The 18,235-nt window shown below is 38.0% G+C and overlaps 1 protein-coding gene and 1 pseudogene across 2 annotated transcripts in view; both read left to right on the top strand.

The window, feature by feature from the left end:
* Positions 1-18,235, top strand: part of PDE11A (phosphodiesterase 11A) — a 485,096-nt gene that overhangs the window by 108,629 nt on the left and 358,232 nt on the right. The window lies entirely within an intron of this gene.
* Positions 834-4,894, top strand: API5P2 (apoptosis inhibitor 5 pseudogene 2; annotated as a pseudogene).

Below are 18,235 nucleotides of genomic sequence, written 5' to 3'. Positions count from 1 at the left end.
CCAAAAAGTGTGCTTGGTATTTTGGAAGAATTGCTCTCCATAGCATATAATAAGTGGCTGTGGGAAATCAGTACCTTTTCTTTAAAGGTGCCACCCAATGTTTAATAGCATTGGGTAGCATCATAGCGTCTGGGCAGTTTTAACTCCATTCTCAGTGCTTGGTTATTTGGTATACTTCATTTACAAAAAACCTATCCATATCTGTCTTCTTTCTCTTAAAAAAAGTGTCTGATTAATTTTTCGAAGCTTTAATATCGACATCAATTTTGTTTGTCCTAATATCACAGTGATACTTGTGATGTAGTGTAACTGAAATTTGTTATAGGTATTCCACTTTTATTTCCAAACCCAGAGTGAGGCATCAGAATAAGTCTTCAGTTATTCTCCCTTGTCATGAAGACAGAGAACCACGATCCTTGGATGAACCTATAAATGTCCATTGCTTCTTTTCAGTGGTTGACTCTAAATTTATTTTTAAGTCTTGGCTTAACACTTTGACATGATTCCCATCATGATTAGGACCACGATCCTTGGATGAACCTATAAATGTCCATTGCTTCTTTTCAGTGGTTGACTCTAAATTTATTTTTAAGTCTCGGCTTAACACTTGGACATGATTCCTATCATGATTAGGACAGTCACAGGACATGATGGGCGTTTTGCTATTCTTATTCTTTTAACCTCTGAAACAGGGTGGCAGAAATTATTGTCTCTATGAGACTGAAAATACATTTTGCACTAGATCTAGAGTGCCCATTGTTTTAAGATTTGATCCGGATGATGTGGCTTGTTGCCATGGATGTTTCCATTGTTTTACACTTTAAAGAGCCATCCAGTTGGGTGTAATAGTGCAGGTAGTGGGCTTGGAGAAGTGCTGAGGTGGCAGTGGTGCCGGCAAGGATGAAGATAGTGGGAGCAGGCCCTGGGCTTGTCGCTCACCATGCCGATGGTAGAGGAGCTTTACGGCAACTATGGCATCATGGCCGATACCACGGAGCGAGTGGGCCAGCATAAAGATGCCTATCAAGTGATACTGGATGGTGTGAAAGGTGGTACTAAGGAAAAACGATTAGCAGCTCAATTTATTCTGAAATTCTTTAAGCATTTTACAGAATTGGCTGATTCTGCTATCAATGCACAGTTAGACCTCTGTGAAGATGAAGATGTATCTATTTGACGTCAAGCAATTAAAGAACTGCCTCAATTTACCACTGGAGAAAATCTTCCTCGAGTGGCAGATATACTAATGCAACTTTTGGAGTCAGATGGCTCTGCAGAATTTAACCTAGTGAACAATGCCCTGTTGAGTATATTTAACATGGATGGAAAAGGGACTTTAGGTTCATTGTTCAGCCAAATACTTCAAGGAGAGGACATTGTTAGAGAATGAGCAATTAAATTCCTTTCTACAAAACTTAAGACTTTACCAGATGAAGTATTAACAAAGGAAGTGGAAGAGCTTATACTAACTGAATCCAAACACGTCCTAGAAGATGTGACTCATGAAGAATTTGTTCTATTCATGAATTACTGTCTGGGTTAAAAAGCTTACAGACAGTAAGTGGAAGACAGCAACTTGTAAAGTTGGTGGCTGAACAGGCCGACCTAGAACAGACCTTCAATCCCTCAGATCCTGAGTGTGTGGGCAGGCTCTTACAGTGCACTCAGCAGGCAGTACCCTTCTTCTCTAAAACTGTCCATTCCACAAGGTCTGTGACATATTTCTGTGAGCAGGTTCTCCCTAACCTTGGTATCTTGACTACCGCAGTGGAAGGTCTTGACATACAGTTGGAGGTATTGAAATTGTTGGTGGAGATGAGTTCATTTTGTGGTGACATGGAAAAACTAGAAACAAATTTAGGGAAACTATTTGATAAGTTATTGGAATACATGCCCCTCCCTCCAGAAGAAGCAGAAAATGGAGGGAATGCTGGTGATGAAGAACCCAAACTACAGTTCAGTTATGTGGAATGTTTGTTGTACAGTTTTCACCAGTTGGGCCAAAAACTTCCAGATTTCTTAACAGCCAAACTGAATGCAGAAAAACTCAAAGATTTCAAAATCAGGCTGCAATACTTTGCACGAGGCCTGCAAGTTTATATCAGACAACTTCACTTAGCTCTCCAGGTGAAACAGGTGAGAACAGAAAAGAACAGAAAACAGAAGAGAACAAAATTAAAGTTGTTGCATTGAAAGCAACAAACAATATCAATGTTTTAATCAAGGATCTCTTCCACATTCCTCCTTCTTGTAAGAGCACAGTAACACTATCCTGGAAACCTGTATAAAAGGTTGAGATTGGGCAAAAGAGAGCCAGTGAATATACAACTTCAGGTTCACCACCCCAGAAATCTTCAGCAGAACAAAAAAGAGATGCCAGGCAGATTTATAATCCTCCCAGTGAGAAATATAGCAGCAATTTGGGCAACTTTAATTATGAGAGGAGCCTTCAGGGAAAGTAGAGGGGGCCGAGGTTGGGGCACACGAAGAAATCGTAGTCGTGGAAGACTCTACTGAATAAGACATCAGCATTCTTCAGCATAGTCATGAGCTTAATATACTTAAATTCTACTACTCATTGGATTTCCGGGGGTGTCCCTTTAAACAGACTGCTGCCTTCAGCTAAAAACTTAATGTTCTTTATACCTTTGTATGTATGATCTATTTTTGTAACAGACCATGGTTGTATCCAAGGTAAAATCACAGTGATATGTTTGGATGCTTCGTCTGCAATATTGAGTTGTTTTTGCAATATCATTATTCAGACTTCAAATTGTGAATCTTTTACTTTTAAATATGTTGATAATTTGTTGTTGAGAGCTGTTCATTCTAAAATGTAGTGAAATTCAGTCTAGTTCTGCTGATAAAGACTATCAGTTTTGAAAAGTTACTGATTTTCCTCTTTCCTCTGTTTTAGTGTTTTGCCCAATATATGGAGAAGGGTAACTGTAAATCTTAACATTTTGTTTTCATTGTTTAATAAAGCTGCTAGGCAGTGGTGCAACATTCCTGTCTAGTGTCATAAAAGCATAATATTTACGTTGCTTTCTTAAAATGTAGGAATGACATTACATTTTTAGGAGAAAGTAAGTTGCTTTGCACTGCTTGCTTAACTTTTTTCCATATATTATGATACAAACTTTTGAATACGGACCCTTACTATTTGAATAGAAATGTCTATATATAATATACATACATACATAAGCGTATATGTGTGTATATACATATATATATATATATATGTATATATGTATGCTGTGAAACTTGACTACACGACATAAATCACTTTTTTAAATTCCAGGAATGGGTAGTCTGACACAGTGATTATCCTTTTGGGGCTGAATCTGTTATTAACTTGTTATTTAGGTTTTTACTCCCAGTAGCCAAGGATTCTAAGTCAGTTGCACTTACATGATTATTGTTATTTAAAACTAAAAATAAAGGCTGTGTTTTCTTTTTCTTTTTCTTTTTTTTTTTTTATTTGAGACGGAGTTTCACTCTTGTTGCCCACACTGGAGTGCAGTAGCGAGATCTCGGCTCACTGCAACCTCCACCTCCCAGGTTCAGGTGATTCTCCTGCCTCTGCCTCCCAAGTAGCTGGGATTATGGGCACCCACCACCACACCCAGCTGATTTTTGTATTTTTAGTAGAGATGGGATTTCACCATGTTGGCCAGGCTGGTCTCGAACTCCTAACCTCAGGCAATCCACCTGCTTTAGCCTCCCAAAGTGCTGGGATTACAGGCTTGAGCCACCGCGCCCAGCTAGGCTGCATTTTCAAAGACAAATTGGAGATTGCTATTGGTGAAATACAGCCAAAATACTGAATCTGATGTATGTATAGATTTCTACAGGAAGAGATAGTATAATTTAGAATTTGGAGATTTCATAACCAGGGCTACCCAGAAAAAGTGACTTGATAACATGGTACCAATAAGGAAGGGAAGCTCTCTCAGTTTGCTTTTGCCATTTTCAAGATTTTTAACTTCTCAGGTTATTAATCAAAATTATTGTATAAGTTAGCCAATAGAATTTTTAGGTTAAAACAGCAGATGCGGGGTGGGTGGTGTTTGTGGAGTATTTAATGTCATGGGCATTTTTAGTAGCATAGAGCCTTTGTTCTGCATTTGAATGTTTAGTATATTTTTGTTTCACAGTTAATCTTCCCTCCTCAAGTTTGCTATTCAAATCAAACGCCTGAATGACATTTCTAGTAGTCTGATGTATTTTTTTAGGAATAGTTTGTGATTCCAAAGCAGGTGTCTTCATTACCATTACCTCTCACTGCAGAAGAAGCAAAATTCCTTTGTTAGAATTACTGCACATGCATATGGAGAAAATAGTTCTGAAAGGCTAGAATGATACAAATGAGCAAAAGTTGGTCAGCTTGGCTATGGATTGGTGGCAATAATCTCTAAACATTCCAAAAGACTGTAAGCTGAACCTAAACTCCCTTGGAATCTGAACAGACAAAGGAATATAAAATTGCCATTTGAAAATTGACCCGCCACTCTGGACCTCAGAGATAGATCAGCCAGTGGCCCAAAGCCATTTCAACTACAGAAATTGTGTTGAGACTACAGCTAAATAAATTTGAACATTAAGTATAATTTTTCCACTTTTCCTCCTTATAAGCATATTTGTAAACTCACAGCTGAGCAGAAGTGACTTTACTCTCTCAAGTTTGATACTGAATTGACTGTTCCCTTACCCCTCACTCTTCCCTTTCCCTTTCCTAAGACAATAGTGCACAACTTCGGTTATTTTTGCTTCTGAATTTGAATGAAAAACTTAACACTGTGGTTTTTTTTTTCTTTTGCAAGACACCTGTTTATCACCTTGTTTAAATGTAAATATCCCCTTATGCTTTTGAAATGAATTTCTTTTTGTAATTAAAAAAAAGACCCATCCAGTTTAAAACAACAAAACTACAAATTATGGCAAACTTCTGATCAGCAGCATGGATTTCTTAAGTAAAAGAAAATGGGAAACCAAACTGCTTCTTACATTCTTGTCTTCAAATTGTTACCAAGGGGAAGATTATGCACAGATCATTGGGTCAAGTAAGGGTTTTTGTTCCCTCAGCAATGCACATCGTAATAAGTCATTCTCCTTCTTGAAATTACATCTTCACTAGGATCAGTATATAAAACACAGTTCTATTTGTGCTAGAAGTACAGGGTCGCAGCCATTCACCTGGAAGGTGATCCTTCACAATTATCCCTAGGAAAAAAACTTGGAAAAATACTCTGTGCTTTTTGTGGTTCAATGATGTAAAATGTTTGTATCATGCTCATTATGGACATTAAAGGCAGGGAGTTTATCCAACACACAGACATGTGGGTCTGGTGCTGTGTTTAGAAAGACAGTTAACTGGAAGATGGTAGCATACATGCCATGTATACAGCTTTTTATGTTTACTCTCTTAGAAGCTGGTGGAAACATCAATCATTAAGATAACATCAAAATTTACATTTGCAGGCCAGGCACAGTGGCTCTTGCCTGTAATCTCACCACTTTGGGAGGCAGAGGCGGATGGATCACTTGAGCTCAGGAGTTCGAGACCAGCCCGCCCAACATAGTGAAACCCTGTGTCTGCTAAAAATACAAAAATTAGTCAGATGTGGTGGTGGGTGCCTGTAGTCTCAGCTACTTGGCCAGCTGAAGCAGCAGAATCGCTCGGGGAGGGGGAGGTTGCAGTGAGCCGAGATTGCTCCATTGCACTTCAGCCTGGGCAACAGAGTGAGACTCTGCCTCAAAAAAAAAAAAAAAAATTTACATTTGCGGAGTCTAATCTTCACATATATACATATATATTAACTCATATAATTCTCTCAATATTCTTATGAGGTAGGTAAGAATTGTTAAATTTTTTTCTTTATAGATGAGGTAACTGCAGTCTGTCTTGTCTAGCAAGAAGTTAATAGTGGAGCTGGAAACTCATTGTTCTTTCCTCTCCTTTTTCCTGGCTTGTCATTTTTCATAAACAATGCATTGACTATTCCTACTACTTAGGAAGAGGGGAGCTCAAAGTAAAGAGTACCCCCATTTGATGAGTTGTAAAAATGATGTCACTCAATATGCCAAAATATACAGATAAACAATCAATAGGAAATGCAATATTCTATTGGAAGATTATATCAATGAAGTCACAGATAATCAGGTTGCACATTGAGCTTGTTAAAGACATAAAGGCTGCACAAGCCTTATTTTATCAATCCTTACAGAAAAATTTTAAGAACCATGCACACTGAATATATGAAAATCTTAGAAAGCAAGGGGACTTTAAAAATTACTTTATTCAAACTCTCATTTTAGAGCTAAACATTTTTTTTTTAAAAAGAAGAAAAATAAAGAGGTTTCGAGATTTTAAATTATTATTAAATTTAAATTATTTGCTCCAGGTTGCACAATTAATTATTTGCTCCAGGTTACACAATTAGAAAACCACACAGCTGAGAGTTGAATCTGTGCCTTCAAATGCCACTGTCCCCTAGCCCTACTCTCTACCACGCAGATGTTTGGCTGCCTGTGGGCAGAGGGCCAGATGACAGTGGTGGTTCCATTCAGCTCTGTATTTCCTTGGTGAGCAAAACCACAATGGTAGCCCCATTTTATGAGTAGGAAAATTCTGGTTGAGAAGTGCCCCTAGAAACAACAGTCAGTGGTGTAACTTAAGTCTCAAGTGCTTCTTTGCTTGTCTTCTCACAGATAGTGGAGTGTACCATGTTTCTGCTTGCGGAGAATCATCTATATATTTCAGCCATGAGAGTTAAGAATTAAGAAAAAACGAGAAAAAAAAGAATATCTGTTTTCCAGCTATCATTGAAGTAAAGTATATATTGTCATGTTCTTTGACAATCTCAATTATGTTGGAATCAAGTCAACATGCTAAGGGGTGAGGTTATAGGCAGTCATAGTTCTGACTTTGTTAAGGCTGATATTTGGATAGATCAATGTTCTATTATGTCAAACTGAGGGATCTTTAAAAATTGTTATGTAAATCAGAAGCATGCTTAGCTGAAGTATCTTAAAAGAGTGCTTCAGCTACTTAACTATCTTCTGATGACCATTGATCTCTGGCCAAATCATTGACACAAGGGTTTAAGAATAAAGAGAACCATTGGAATAAAAGTTTATACAGAATGTACTGTTAACCATTAGACATAGAAACATTAGTGGAAATGGATTAAGAATAGGTAGGAGGCGGATACTTACTGAAGAGGCAAATAGCATGAATGGTAGAAATATTTTGGTAACTTCTGTTTACCATCTATATACATAGAACATTTTGATTCAAGTGTTTTTGATGCAGGCGTTTTGACAGTTAAAGCAAGTGGATGCCCTGGAATCTTTTTCCACACTTAACCACCATCTGATTTCTGGGCAATTTTTATTTTCCACTGTATTAATTTATATACTGTTTGAAAACTTTGTTAAACTTTGGTCTTGTATTACTTTTATTTCTGAGATGAATCCTGTTTGGTGGTAGTGTATTATTTTGATATAATGCTGGGTTCAGTTAGCACTTAATATGGATAATGAAATTGATCTGTAGATTTTTTGGTGCTATTTTTATCTCTACTGTCTTTATTAAGATTATGTGAGATGTATTATTTTAGAATTAGAAAAAAAAGCAGTAATATATTATTTAGTCTTTTATAATTAGGAAGCCTCTAAGAGGTTATCAGGTACTCCCCCCAAAGCATTATTATAAATGAGTTTTACTATAAGGGTAAATGTGTTATTTAGAGAACAGTTAGAAATTTAATTAGGGTCTCTTGTCGGACTGGAGCTGAGAATAGGAGATTGTATTATGGCCCAAATCTCTTCCCTTAAGTATGTACCCAATTAAAAAGAAATCTCAAAAAACTTATTGGAAGAAGATAATGCTCTTTATATAGATGTTTTGCAGCACTTAAAAACTCATGCCATCATAAAAATCTAGAAGAATTCTATCCTGACCAGCCATGAAAAAGTTGTTTGATGTGACTTTCTATAATTTGCATATGAAAAGAGTATATATATTTTCATTTCCAAATATAAGGTATATTATTATTATTATTATCATTTTTTGAAATGGAGTCTCACTCTGTTGCCCAGGCTGGAGTGCAGTGGTGTGGTCTCGGCACACTGCAACCTCCGCCTCCTGGGTTCAAGTGATACTCCTACCTCAGCCTCCCGAGTAGGTGGGATTACAAGTGCCTGCCACCACGCCTGGCTAATTTTTTGTATTTTTAGTAGAGATGGGGTTTCACCATGTTGGCCAGGCTGGTCTCAAACTCCTGACCTCATGATCTGCCCGCCTTGGCCTCCCAAAGTGCTGGGATTACAGGCGTGAGCCACCATGCCCGGCCCAATATATTATATTTTACTTTTTGAGACAGAGTCTTACTCTGTCGCCCAGGCTGGAGTACAGTGGCACAATCTTGGCTCACTGCAACCTCCGCCTCCCAGGTTCAAGCGATTCTCCTGCCTCAGCCTCCCAATCCTGAGTAGGTGGGATTACAGGTGAGTACCACCACACCCAGCTAATTTTTGTATTTTTAGTAGAGATGGTGGTTTTACCATGTTGGCCAGGCTAATCTCGAACTCCTGACCTCAAGTAATCTACCCATGCTGGCCTCCCAAAGTGCTAGGATTACAGGCGTGAGCCACTGTGCCCAGCCAAGATATATTTTAAATACTTGTTCTTTATTTTATTTATTTATTTATTTAAGATGGAGTCTCACTCTGTTGCCCAGGCTGGAGTGCAGTGGCATGATCTCAGTTCACCACAACCTCTACCTCCTGGGTTCAAGCAATTCTTCTGCCTTAGCCTCCCAAGTAGCTGGGACTGCAGGAGCGCACCACCGTGCCCAGCTAATTTTTGTTGACCTTGTGATCTGTCCACCTCCACCTCCCAAAGTGCTAGGATTACAGGCATGAGCCACCACGCTACCCTCCGCCTTTTTTTTCCTTTTTTTTTTTTTTGAGACAGAGTCTCGCTCTGTCACCCAGGCTGGAGTGCAATGGTGCGATCTCAGCTCACTGCAACCTCTACTTCCTGTGTTCAAGCAATTCTCCTGCCTCAGCCTCCTGAGTAGCTGGGATTACAGGCCCACCCTACCATACCCAGCTAATTTTTGTATTTTTAGTAGAGATGGGGTTTCACCATGTTGTTCAGGCTGGTCTTGAATTCCTGACCTTGTGATCCCCCTGCCTCAGCCTCCCAAAGTGCTGGGATTACAGGTGTGAGCCACTGCCTGGCCTTAAATACTTTTTGAAACTATCCCCCCCAGATACTTGTAACTCTGAAAAATTACTGCTATAAATTTTGAAAATGAAAATCGTTAAGCTCTGTTATTGATCAACCACATTATTAAAAGGCAAAAATAAGTGAGTGTTAAAATTGTAACATTAAAGCAGGAACCACAAAGTCCGATATGCAGAAAATTCCATATACAAGTGAATTTTCATTGACTAGGCAGTTATCTGATTGAAACAATTTATGTTTCTTTCTGAAAAGAGTACATGGTTACTAATCATGTAGCTTGTACTAGGTTAATCCTTATTCCACCTCTATCCTTACCTATCCCCGTTGGTGCTGGGATGAGGCTTATCAAAGGAAAAAGTATGTTGGTTCTGCATATTATTATTATTTAAAGAAGCTGAAACTGTAGTGAGTGGTGTGAGTTTTAGGTTGGATTCAAATGTCACATAGTCAATTCTCTCTCATTCTCTTTCCCCCTTCTCTCCCTTCATTTCCATCTTGTTTCTTAAAGGATTTGAGGCATCTGATGGAAAATATTGGAATATGAATAAACTTTCATGGCCAGATAATGTGATAAGCTGGGAATTCTCAAGGAGTTTTTTGGTTTTTCGTTTTTATTTTTTTTCAGTGCTATGATGTGATGGTAATTTCCAGCTACTTTTTGTCTTGACCAGAATGTGTCATTGATCCACTCTTTCTGGCATGAGGTGAGGCTGGAGGATTCCAGTGGACTCCTGGTATTTAGATAAATGCTCCTAACCTCAGGTTGAAGGAATTTCAGATGAGGAGCAGTGACTAACTGAGCATGCACTTCTTGATTCCTGCCAACCAGAAAAGCTATTCTCTCTCAAAATTGGGACATTCATTAACTGCAGTGAAGATCCTTGCTAACACATAAGTATAACTGTTAGGATTGCATCCCCAGTGGGTCAGTGAGTGGAGTCATTTCCCCACTGTGTCAATGGCATCAGTCCCTAGTCTGTGCATAAAGGAATTTACAGAAAAAGTATCCTCTGTTTTACAGAGGAAATGAGCGTTTATTTCCTTTCTTATTTGTAGCTCGCCTCTGAGTATGATAGAAAGATTTGACTCTGGGCAGAGTATTCTTTCTGGACTTTGTTCATACTGTGCTATGACTACTAGCTTTTCATCATAACCACATCCAGGATTGATATTGCTTTAGGAAACAGCATTCCACATCTCTAGTGAATTGCTTATCTTTCTTGAAAAAGAGTAGATTGCTCATATTGTCATTCTTGTGTATTTTCTGATGTAATAGAGGCACTAAAACTATCAATTGCTTTAGACTGTATGACAGTATTGAAGGCCACTTAACAGAATGCTGAGTAATACAACTGAATCAGACTCATCTCACCAAAAATTTGAGCATGTGTATGTGGATCTTTGAACGCAGTTAGCAGGCAAGCCTATTTTGCCATCCTCTCTGAGATATAATACTGAAATTTTGCAGACAGAAGTGATACATTTTTTATGTACAGATAACACACATATCTTGATGCATCTAGAAACCCTGATGAGTTTTGAGCAAAGTAAAAATAACGGGACTACAGAAGACCTCACAAAGGTTTCAGAGGACTCAGTTTCAATGGACATTTCTTGCTGCCTGTATACCTGTCATATGACCAGGCTTTCCACAGCTGCTCTAAGTGGCCCTCAGCTTGGCTCATCCTTTTGACTTCCAACATTAATTCATGTCTTATTCCCAGTGCCACAGACAGTGAAGAGAAGATGACTGCCACATGAGAATAGAGTTAGACAATTCAGACACTCTGGCAGGACTGGCTACGTAATTTATAGAGCCCAGTGTAAAATGAAAAGGCTGGGACCCTTGTTCAAAAATTAAGAATTTTAAGCCTGGGACAGGAGGACTTTAAATCAAGCACAGGACTCTTCTAAGCATGGGGTCCCTTGTGACTGCACAGGTTGCACGCTTATGAAGCCTGCTTTTTTAGTCTTGAAATAATGAAGGTAGAGAGGAATTTGCTTTACCTCTACACAATTTGGAAAGCAGTAATAGAATGCATGAATTTTGTTTACAGTGTCTTAGAATATTAAAGCTAGGGAAACCACTGAAGTTTCAAGGTGGGTGATGATAGCATGTACTCCTTTACAGCATAGCAGGAACAAACTCTTTCTCTGAGAAGTCACACAAGGTAGATCGAAGAGTTTCTTATTTGTGTTGGCCACAGAGTTGGGTTGAACCATGGAAGCATCAAGAGGTGACTGTGAATACCAAGCCTGAGCATGGGTGACATTATTGAACTCCTGGTCTCAGGATAATTATAGAAGGCTCAGAGTAAATGTGTTTATTGATCCAGGCCTGGGTTGCTTTCATCAGAGCTTTAGAGTGAAGATTCTCACAAAACTTAGAAGACATGAGAAGACACTTCTGCACAAGATTTTGTGTGTGGCAATGGTGGTACTCAGTGACTTCTCACACTTAATTCACTAGAAATTGTGTTTATAGTCTCTCCTCTTTCTGACTTTAATTTTACATAGCTGGTCAGCTTTTAATGCATGGACTGTGACAGTGGGGAAGAAAGACTTTACAAAGACTTCTTTGAAGGAATGTTCTGGAGCCATTGAAAAGCTAATAAAAGAATATCGCCTGGTTCTTCTTTTATGATAACACAAAGTATTAAGCAAAAAATAAAAACATAATAAATGATAAAAATTAAAACACAACTGAGAAATGTCTTTATTCTTTAAAATTCTATAAGAAGAGAGTTGACCCCAATTTTTAATGCAATAGTCATGCATAGAATATTTGTTTCTGAACAAAATAATTCTAGAGACAGCAGCCTGTTTTCTACTCATCCTGCAATTTAATAAAACATTTATTTCTGATGAGAAAAGATACTCCTGCAGGGATATGAAAGTGTGGAGTGGCTCACTGTGGTAGAGACTTTCATTTACATCATCTTCTTTATTATATGTAACTACCCAATTTGGTATGTATCATTATCCCCACTTTGAGATAAGAAAAATGTGGTTCAAAGTTAAACATTTCAATAAGAACGTCCCTCAGAACAGTGACTGTGTAAGGTATCAATTAATAGTTGTTCTATGGTAATTGAATGGTTGGAAAAATACTTGATTTAGCAAATATTAGAGAAGATTAGGAAACTTGGAATATGTAATTGACATTCTTGGAGTAGGTAATTGAGGCCTTTGGTTCTTTACCCTTTTCCCTCTTCATCCCCTTAAGGGTTAGAGAGTCCTCTGCCTCTCGATTCTCACAGTAAGAAAAGCTGCCCTCGTAAAGCAGCAAGAGAATGGTATTGGCTATAGCACTGCAGGCTGGTGGGGGACATATTTGGGGGACATGGTCTTCATGGAATTGTTGCAGTTTTACTATTTAAGTAGATATCAATTGGTTAATCTATTTCTGTTTGTGAAAACACATTGAAGGATGTAGTTGCAGAAAGTTTGCTGAGAAATACTGGACACTAAGTATTATATTTAGTCTTCAAAGTTAACATTTTATGGTAGCTTTTATGTATGGCTGAACACCATTCTAAGCACTCTACATGCACTATATCATTTAATCTTCATCATCTAGTGAGATATATACCATTATTATCCCCATTCTTTTTTTTTTTTTTTGAGATGGAGTCTCACTCTGTTGCCTAGGCTGGAGTGCAGTGACACGATCTCAGCTCACTACAACCTCTGCCTCCCGTGTTCAAGCGATTCTCCTGCCTCAGCCTCCTGAGTAGCTGGGATTACAGGTGCCCGCCACCACGCCCAGCTAATTTTTCGTATTTTTAGTAGAGACAGGGTTTCAGCATGTTGGGCAGGCTGGTCTCAAACTCTTGACCTCGTGATCCTCCCACCTCGGCCTCCCAAAGTGCTGGGATTGCAGGCGTGAGCCACTGTGCCTGGCCCCATTATCCCCATTCTTAAGAAGACAAAATCAAGGACCAGAGGGTAAAACGCATGAGTAGTAAGTGGTGGAATATGGACTGGAACCAGCTCCTTAATCACTATGGATATTGTGTCTAAGAGGAAGAACATAGAACATTCATGAAACATGTTCATAGTGGGTAGAGCAGGCACACAGAGACTGTGAAAAGGCTTTGACCCTGCTGCTAGAGATGCTTCTGTTTGTCCTCGGCTTCTCTAGTTTCATGGCTCCTGAAGGCTGACTCTGTGCCAGGAGAGAAGACAAAGCTGAGAATGGGGAAGGGATTCAAGGATGGATTAGCCTGGTGTTAGGATCTGGAATCCCCACTTTCCTGAAGGTCTCCAGGTGGAAGATGATAACAGGTGTGTTTTACCTGTGTGTTCCCCCGATCCTACAGGGTCATGGTAATTTAGTGCTATCACTATTCTTTGCAGTGTTTGTAGTTGCATACAACAGGGTGGGGTTAATCTTACTCTACTTTTGGACAAAAAAGGACTCAGAAAGTGAGCAAAAGGATCCTTTTTGCCTTGTTTCCTTGCTGCTTGAAATAGTTTGATAGCTTCCTATTTGAGAGAACTTGTTCTAGATAAAAGGGTTTTGGTTAAAGATCACTTTGGCTTATGTTTTTTAGGGCAATTCCACCCTTCTGCAACATAATGTGTAAGCTTTAAAGAAGCAAATGCAAGCACTTGCGCATTGTTCTGCTCTTCACATAGCAATTTATAAAACTCTTGCAATCCCACTTTTTGTCTTTGTACTGTATCAATTCTTAAAACTTTAAAGTTCAACAATAGAAATCCTCTTATTTTACAGATTAAGAGACTGAGGCAGATAGAAAAGACTTGTTCAGTGAGATACACAGTGCAAAGTTTGGATGAAAATAGTGTTTCTTAACGTTGAGTTCAGAATTCTTGCATTGCCTCCATGCCACTGATTAAAGAATTAATGAATTTCTCTAAATATAGAGGCTGAATGCCCAAAATGCCATTGCAAGTGAGAAGAGAATATTATCCCTTACTGATTTTTTTTTGTTTCAATGAGTCCCCTGAAGATGAGAGGAACCTCTGTTATGCCTGTGTTCCTTGCCTTGTGTAATTTTAGTTCAAATCACAGCAACGCACAGATTAAATGAAATAGCTGGAGGTAAATTGTGTCAATCCTTCAATGAGGTATAGTAATATTAAAATTCAGAACTCTAAATGATCACTTTTCAAGAAAGCTTTACTATGTATCTACATTATTAATTTCAGTTACCAACTCTATTTGACATGTAGACATTTTAGTAGAGTTGTTGAAGAAAAAAAAGCACTATATTAACTATAATCACCTGAAGTGATAATAGTCACAGCACAGTGACTGTCAGAAGCAATTGAAGACCATTACTGGAAAAATCAAATATGCACCTGATTTCAATTATATCAAATGCCAATTGATTTATTTGTTCATTAGAGCAACTGGTTGGAGATAGCTGAGAGAAGTTGGAAGGTTCTCAGTAAGAGTTTTTGAATTTCTACTTTATGAACTGCTGGGTGGTATAATAACAACTACATAGAGACACAGAATGTCTAGGCAACTTGCCAAAGACCATAAAGCCAGTCAGCTTTGGAGCTGGGTAGACCTCAGGCACTGTGGCTGTTAACCACCATGCTTCAATCTCTGCTCTACAAGGCGAGCTGGGAGCTTTGGTAGAAGGTATTCTTGAATTCAAAACTTAGCTCTGCTACTTAGTAGTGTGTAGTAGTACTTGGCAAATTAACTTATACCTCTGTTTTCTCTTTATTAATAGAGAGAGCATTAGTCCTAATCTCATGGGGGTTTTTTGGTGAAGTTTATGTATATAATGCTATCTACTGTACTTATCACAATATCTGGCATCTAATGAGAACTTAACATGTGTAGCTTTTATTTTATTAATATGATTTTTATAACCATGGAGGAGTTAAAAATTAGCAGATACATTATATATCCCAAGGAGCTCTTGATTTAATTGGGAACTGAAACATACAATTAGGTGCAAATTTATCAAGAATAAAAACATAAAGAATACAATCCTATAATTTGAAAATGCTCCAAGGAGGCACAGATATAACCTATGTTTTCTTTCTTTCTGGAGTTGTTTTCACTCAGTTAAAAGTATATGTATGCCATTCACCCCTATCTTCAGCAATATGGTATGGTATCATGAGAAAGGTATTCATTCTATATTTTTAATATATAGTCTAAGTTTTCCCTTACCCTGTTGCTACAATCTGTTTACAAGAGCAAGCAATTTCATGCAGTTTGCTATGCATCACTTTTAGCTCTTTCCTTAGGCACCAGTCTAAAATCAGGGTAGCAGTAAGCCACTTTCAAATTATAGTGGTCTTTTCCATTCATGTCTACGTTTCAAATTTTTATATAAACCACTTCGCTTCCCAAGCTGTCCAACAATTGCACAGCAAGAGATAATCGTTTTGGTATTGATTGATAGCTGCTAAGTAGAAAAAATTTCATAGAAGGAAATACGAGCACCAGTGCATTAAAGAGAAGGTATATTGCTAATTTGTTTTATTAATTGGTGCTACTTTGGGAGTCGGTTTTGTCATGCACTTCTGATAAGAGCTTCCAATCACCTTCAGAACTCTTCATCTAGAAGGTCACTTTTCTAAGCTGTCAAAGTCAGTTGCCTTGCTTAGTTGACTGAAACAATCAGATTACACAGACTTGCTGACTAAACTTGTTTATGTTATGGCTATATCTAGTGAACTAATAATTCTTAGTTTTCTGGCTATCTTGCAGTTCAATGATAAATTCATCAGTGCCATGTATTTCAAAATAAAAAATATTAAGAAACCCAGAACATACAAAAAAGTTTCCTTTAGTCCACCAAATAGCAAAACTCTCATGCATTTATGTTTGTTTGTTTGTTTGTTTTTTAAGTAATTAATTTATCACAGTAAGTGGCTTCTTAGGTTTGGTAGATGGCCTAGAGTGTGGTTTTGATTATAGCTGCTTTATTTTCATTTATGTAATCTTTATTCATCTTTATTCTGCATTGCAGCCTCAGACTTTTCCAGTTTTCTCAAAGCTACTTGGACTGGCTCACTTTTTAGAGTAGATGTTGATTAAAAGGTGCATCAGTAGCCCATTGCTTATAGTGCCACCGTGTGGCCTTCATCCATCACTGCTGCCCACTTAACAAACACAGCAGGTCCTCAATGGGGCTGAATCTAAAATTAAGTTTCTTTAAGAAGTGCATCCCTAGCACGTGTAATTATTTGTTTTTAATCACTATTTTAGAAAACCAAGGTAAAGACAAATTACAAAGTGAGAAATGACTATTATTGAGGACAAATTAGAAATAAATTTCTAAATTTAGAAATAAATCTCTAAATTACTTAATACTGTCAAAGGGAAAATATGTTTGCTTTATGAAGTCTGGATTTATAGTTAAATTTTTCATGATTTTTTTCTTGAGACAGGGTCTCACTCTGTCACCCATGCTGGAGTGTAATGGCGCGATCTCAGGTCACTGCAAATTCCCCCAGGTTCAAGTGATTCTTGTGCCTCAGCCACCCAAGTAACTGGGATTACCGGTGTGTGCCACCCCGTCTGGCTAATTTTTGTATTTTTAGTAGAGATGGGGTTTTACTATGTTGACAAGGCTGGTCTCGAACTCCTGGCCTCAAGTGATCCATCTGCCCACCTTGGCCTCCCAAAGTACTGGAATTACAGGTGTGAGCTACCATGCCTGGCCTTATTTTTATAGTGTAACAAGAGGCTGGTGTACATTTGAATTCTTTTTTTTGGCTATCAAGAAATTACATTTTGCTAGCAGTTTTTAGAAGGCAAGAAATTAGGTGCCTTAAATATCATCTTGTTAAATTGTGAAATATTTAATCTGTTCCTCCTCATTTTGATTCTTCTTCTCCCTTCACATTGGCATATGAATCTTTTTTCTCTGCCACATGGTTCTGTCATAGGAGGTCATTAAGGCATTTGAATGAATCAACATAGCCCTAAAAACCCCCACCAAGGTGTCGTATCCCCTACTGGCCTGCATTCTGTCCCCAGAGAGTCCTATTTTTATTTCCTTTGCTAACTAATTTGAAGTCTTTTTTTAGGTTGTACCCATGATTGCAATGTTAGAATATTAAGCCTTCATAGCATGTTGCAGTTTGGGGCAAAAATATATATCATTTTGTAAAACATATGAAGAAATAGAAATTAATGTGTAGTGTTTGGGCATTAAGTTCCATGATGAGAGTGGAGTTACAATCAGGGTTATGGCAGAGAAAACTGGCCAAAAAAAATAACAAAAGCTTATATTACTCACTCAAGACATTTAAGGAGAAAAAAAGAAATTAGCTGAAAAGGATTCATTTTGATTAGTAAGTATGTAATTTATATTCATTGAAGTTCCATTAAAGAGCCGTTCTCTTCCATTCGTGATTAGTACAATTGAAGTTGTTAGACGATTAGCACACCATTCAAAGTAAGGATACATGCCCTTTCTCTGTGTAGTATATACTTTTGCAGGCCCAGTCGCAAAGGCCTGTGCCAGTTTTCTTTGCCTCAAGACCAGGAATCTATAGAATGGCAAAGGAGTCAATATCCTGCCTTTCCGGATTCAGCTAAGCGCAGGAAGGATACTCATTAAGTTCATACCTATGTCATTCCATTGAAAAGACTGAGTACTCCTTCCTTTAAAAAGAAAAGAAACAGAAAATGAATCACTAGAGAATGATATTCTACAATTTTGAAGTACTTCATGTACTAATGTATCTCCTGCAGAATATTTCTAGCAAGATAATTTCATAAATAATTGTTATAGGGTGAGTTGTGTTCTTCCCACACCCCTGCAAAAGATAAGTTGAAGTACTAACCCCAGTTCCTCAGAATGTGATTTTATTTGGAAAGAGGGTCTTTACAGAGGTAATCAAGTCAAAATGAGTTCATTAGGGTAGACCCTAATCCAATATGACTGGTGTCCTTTAAAAAGAGTCAATTTGGACAGAGAGAGACCAATATCCACAGAAGGGAAGACTCTGTGAAGAGATACAGGGAGAATGCCA

This window comes from Homo sapiens, chromosome 2 (genome assembly GCF_000001405.40).
Source record: "Homo sapiens chromosome 2, GRCh38.p14 Primary Assembly".
NCBI classification, from domain to species: Eukaryota; Metazoa; Chordata; class Mammalia; order Primates; family Hominidae; genus Homo; species Homo sapiens.
Note: the sequence above shows the minus strand (reverse complement) of the source record. Positions and strands in the feature narration are given on the sequence as shown.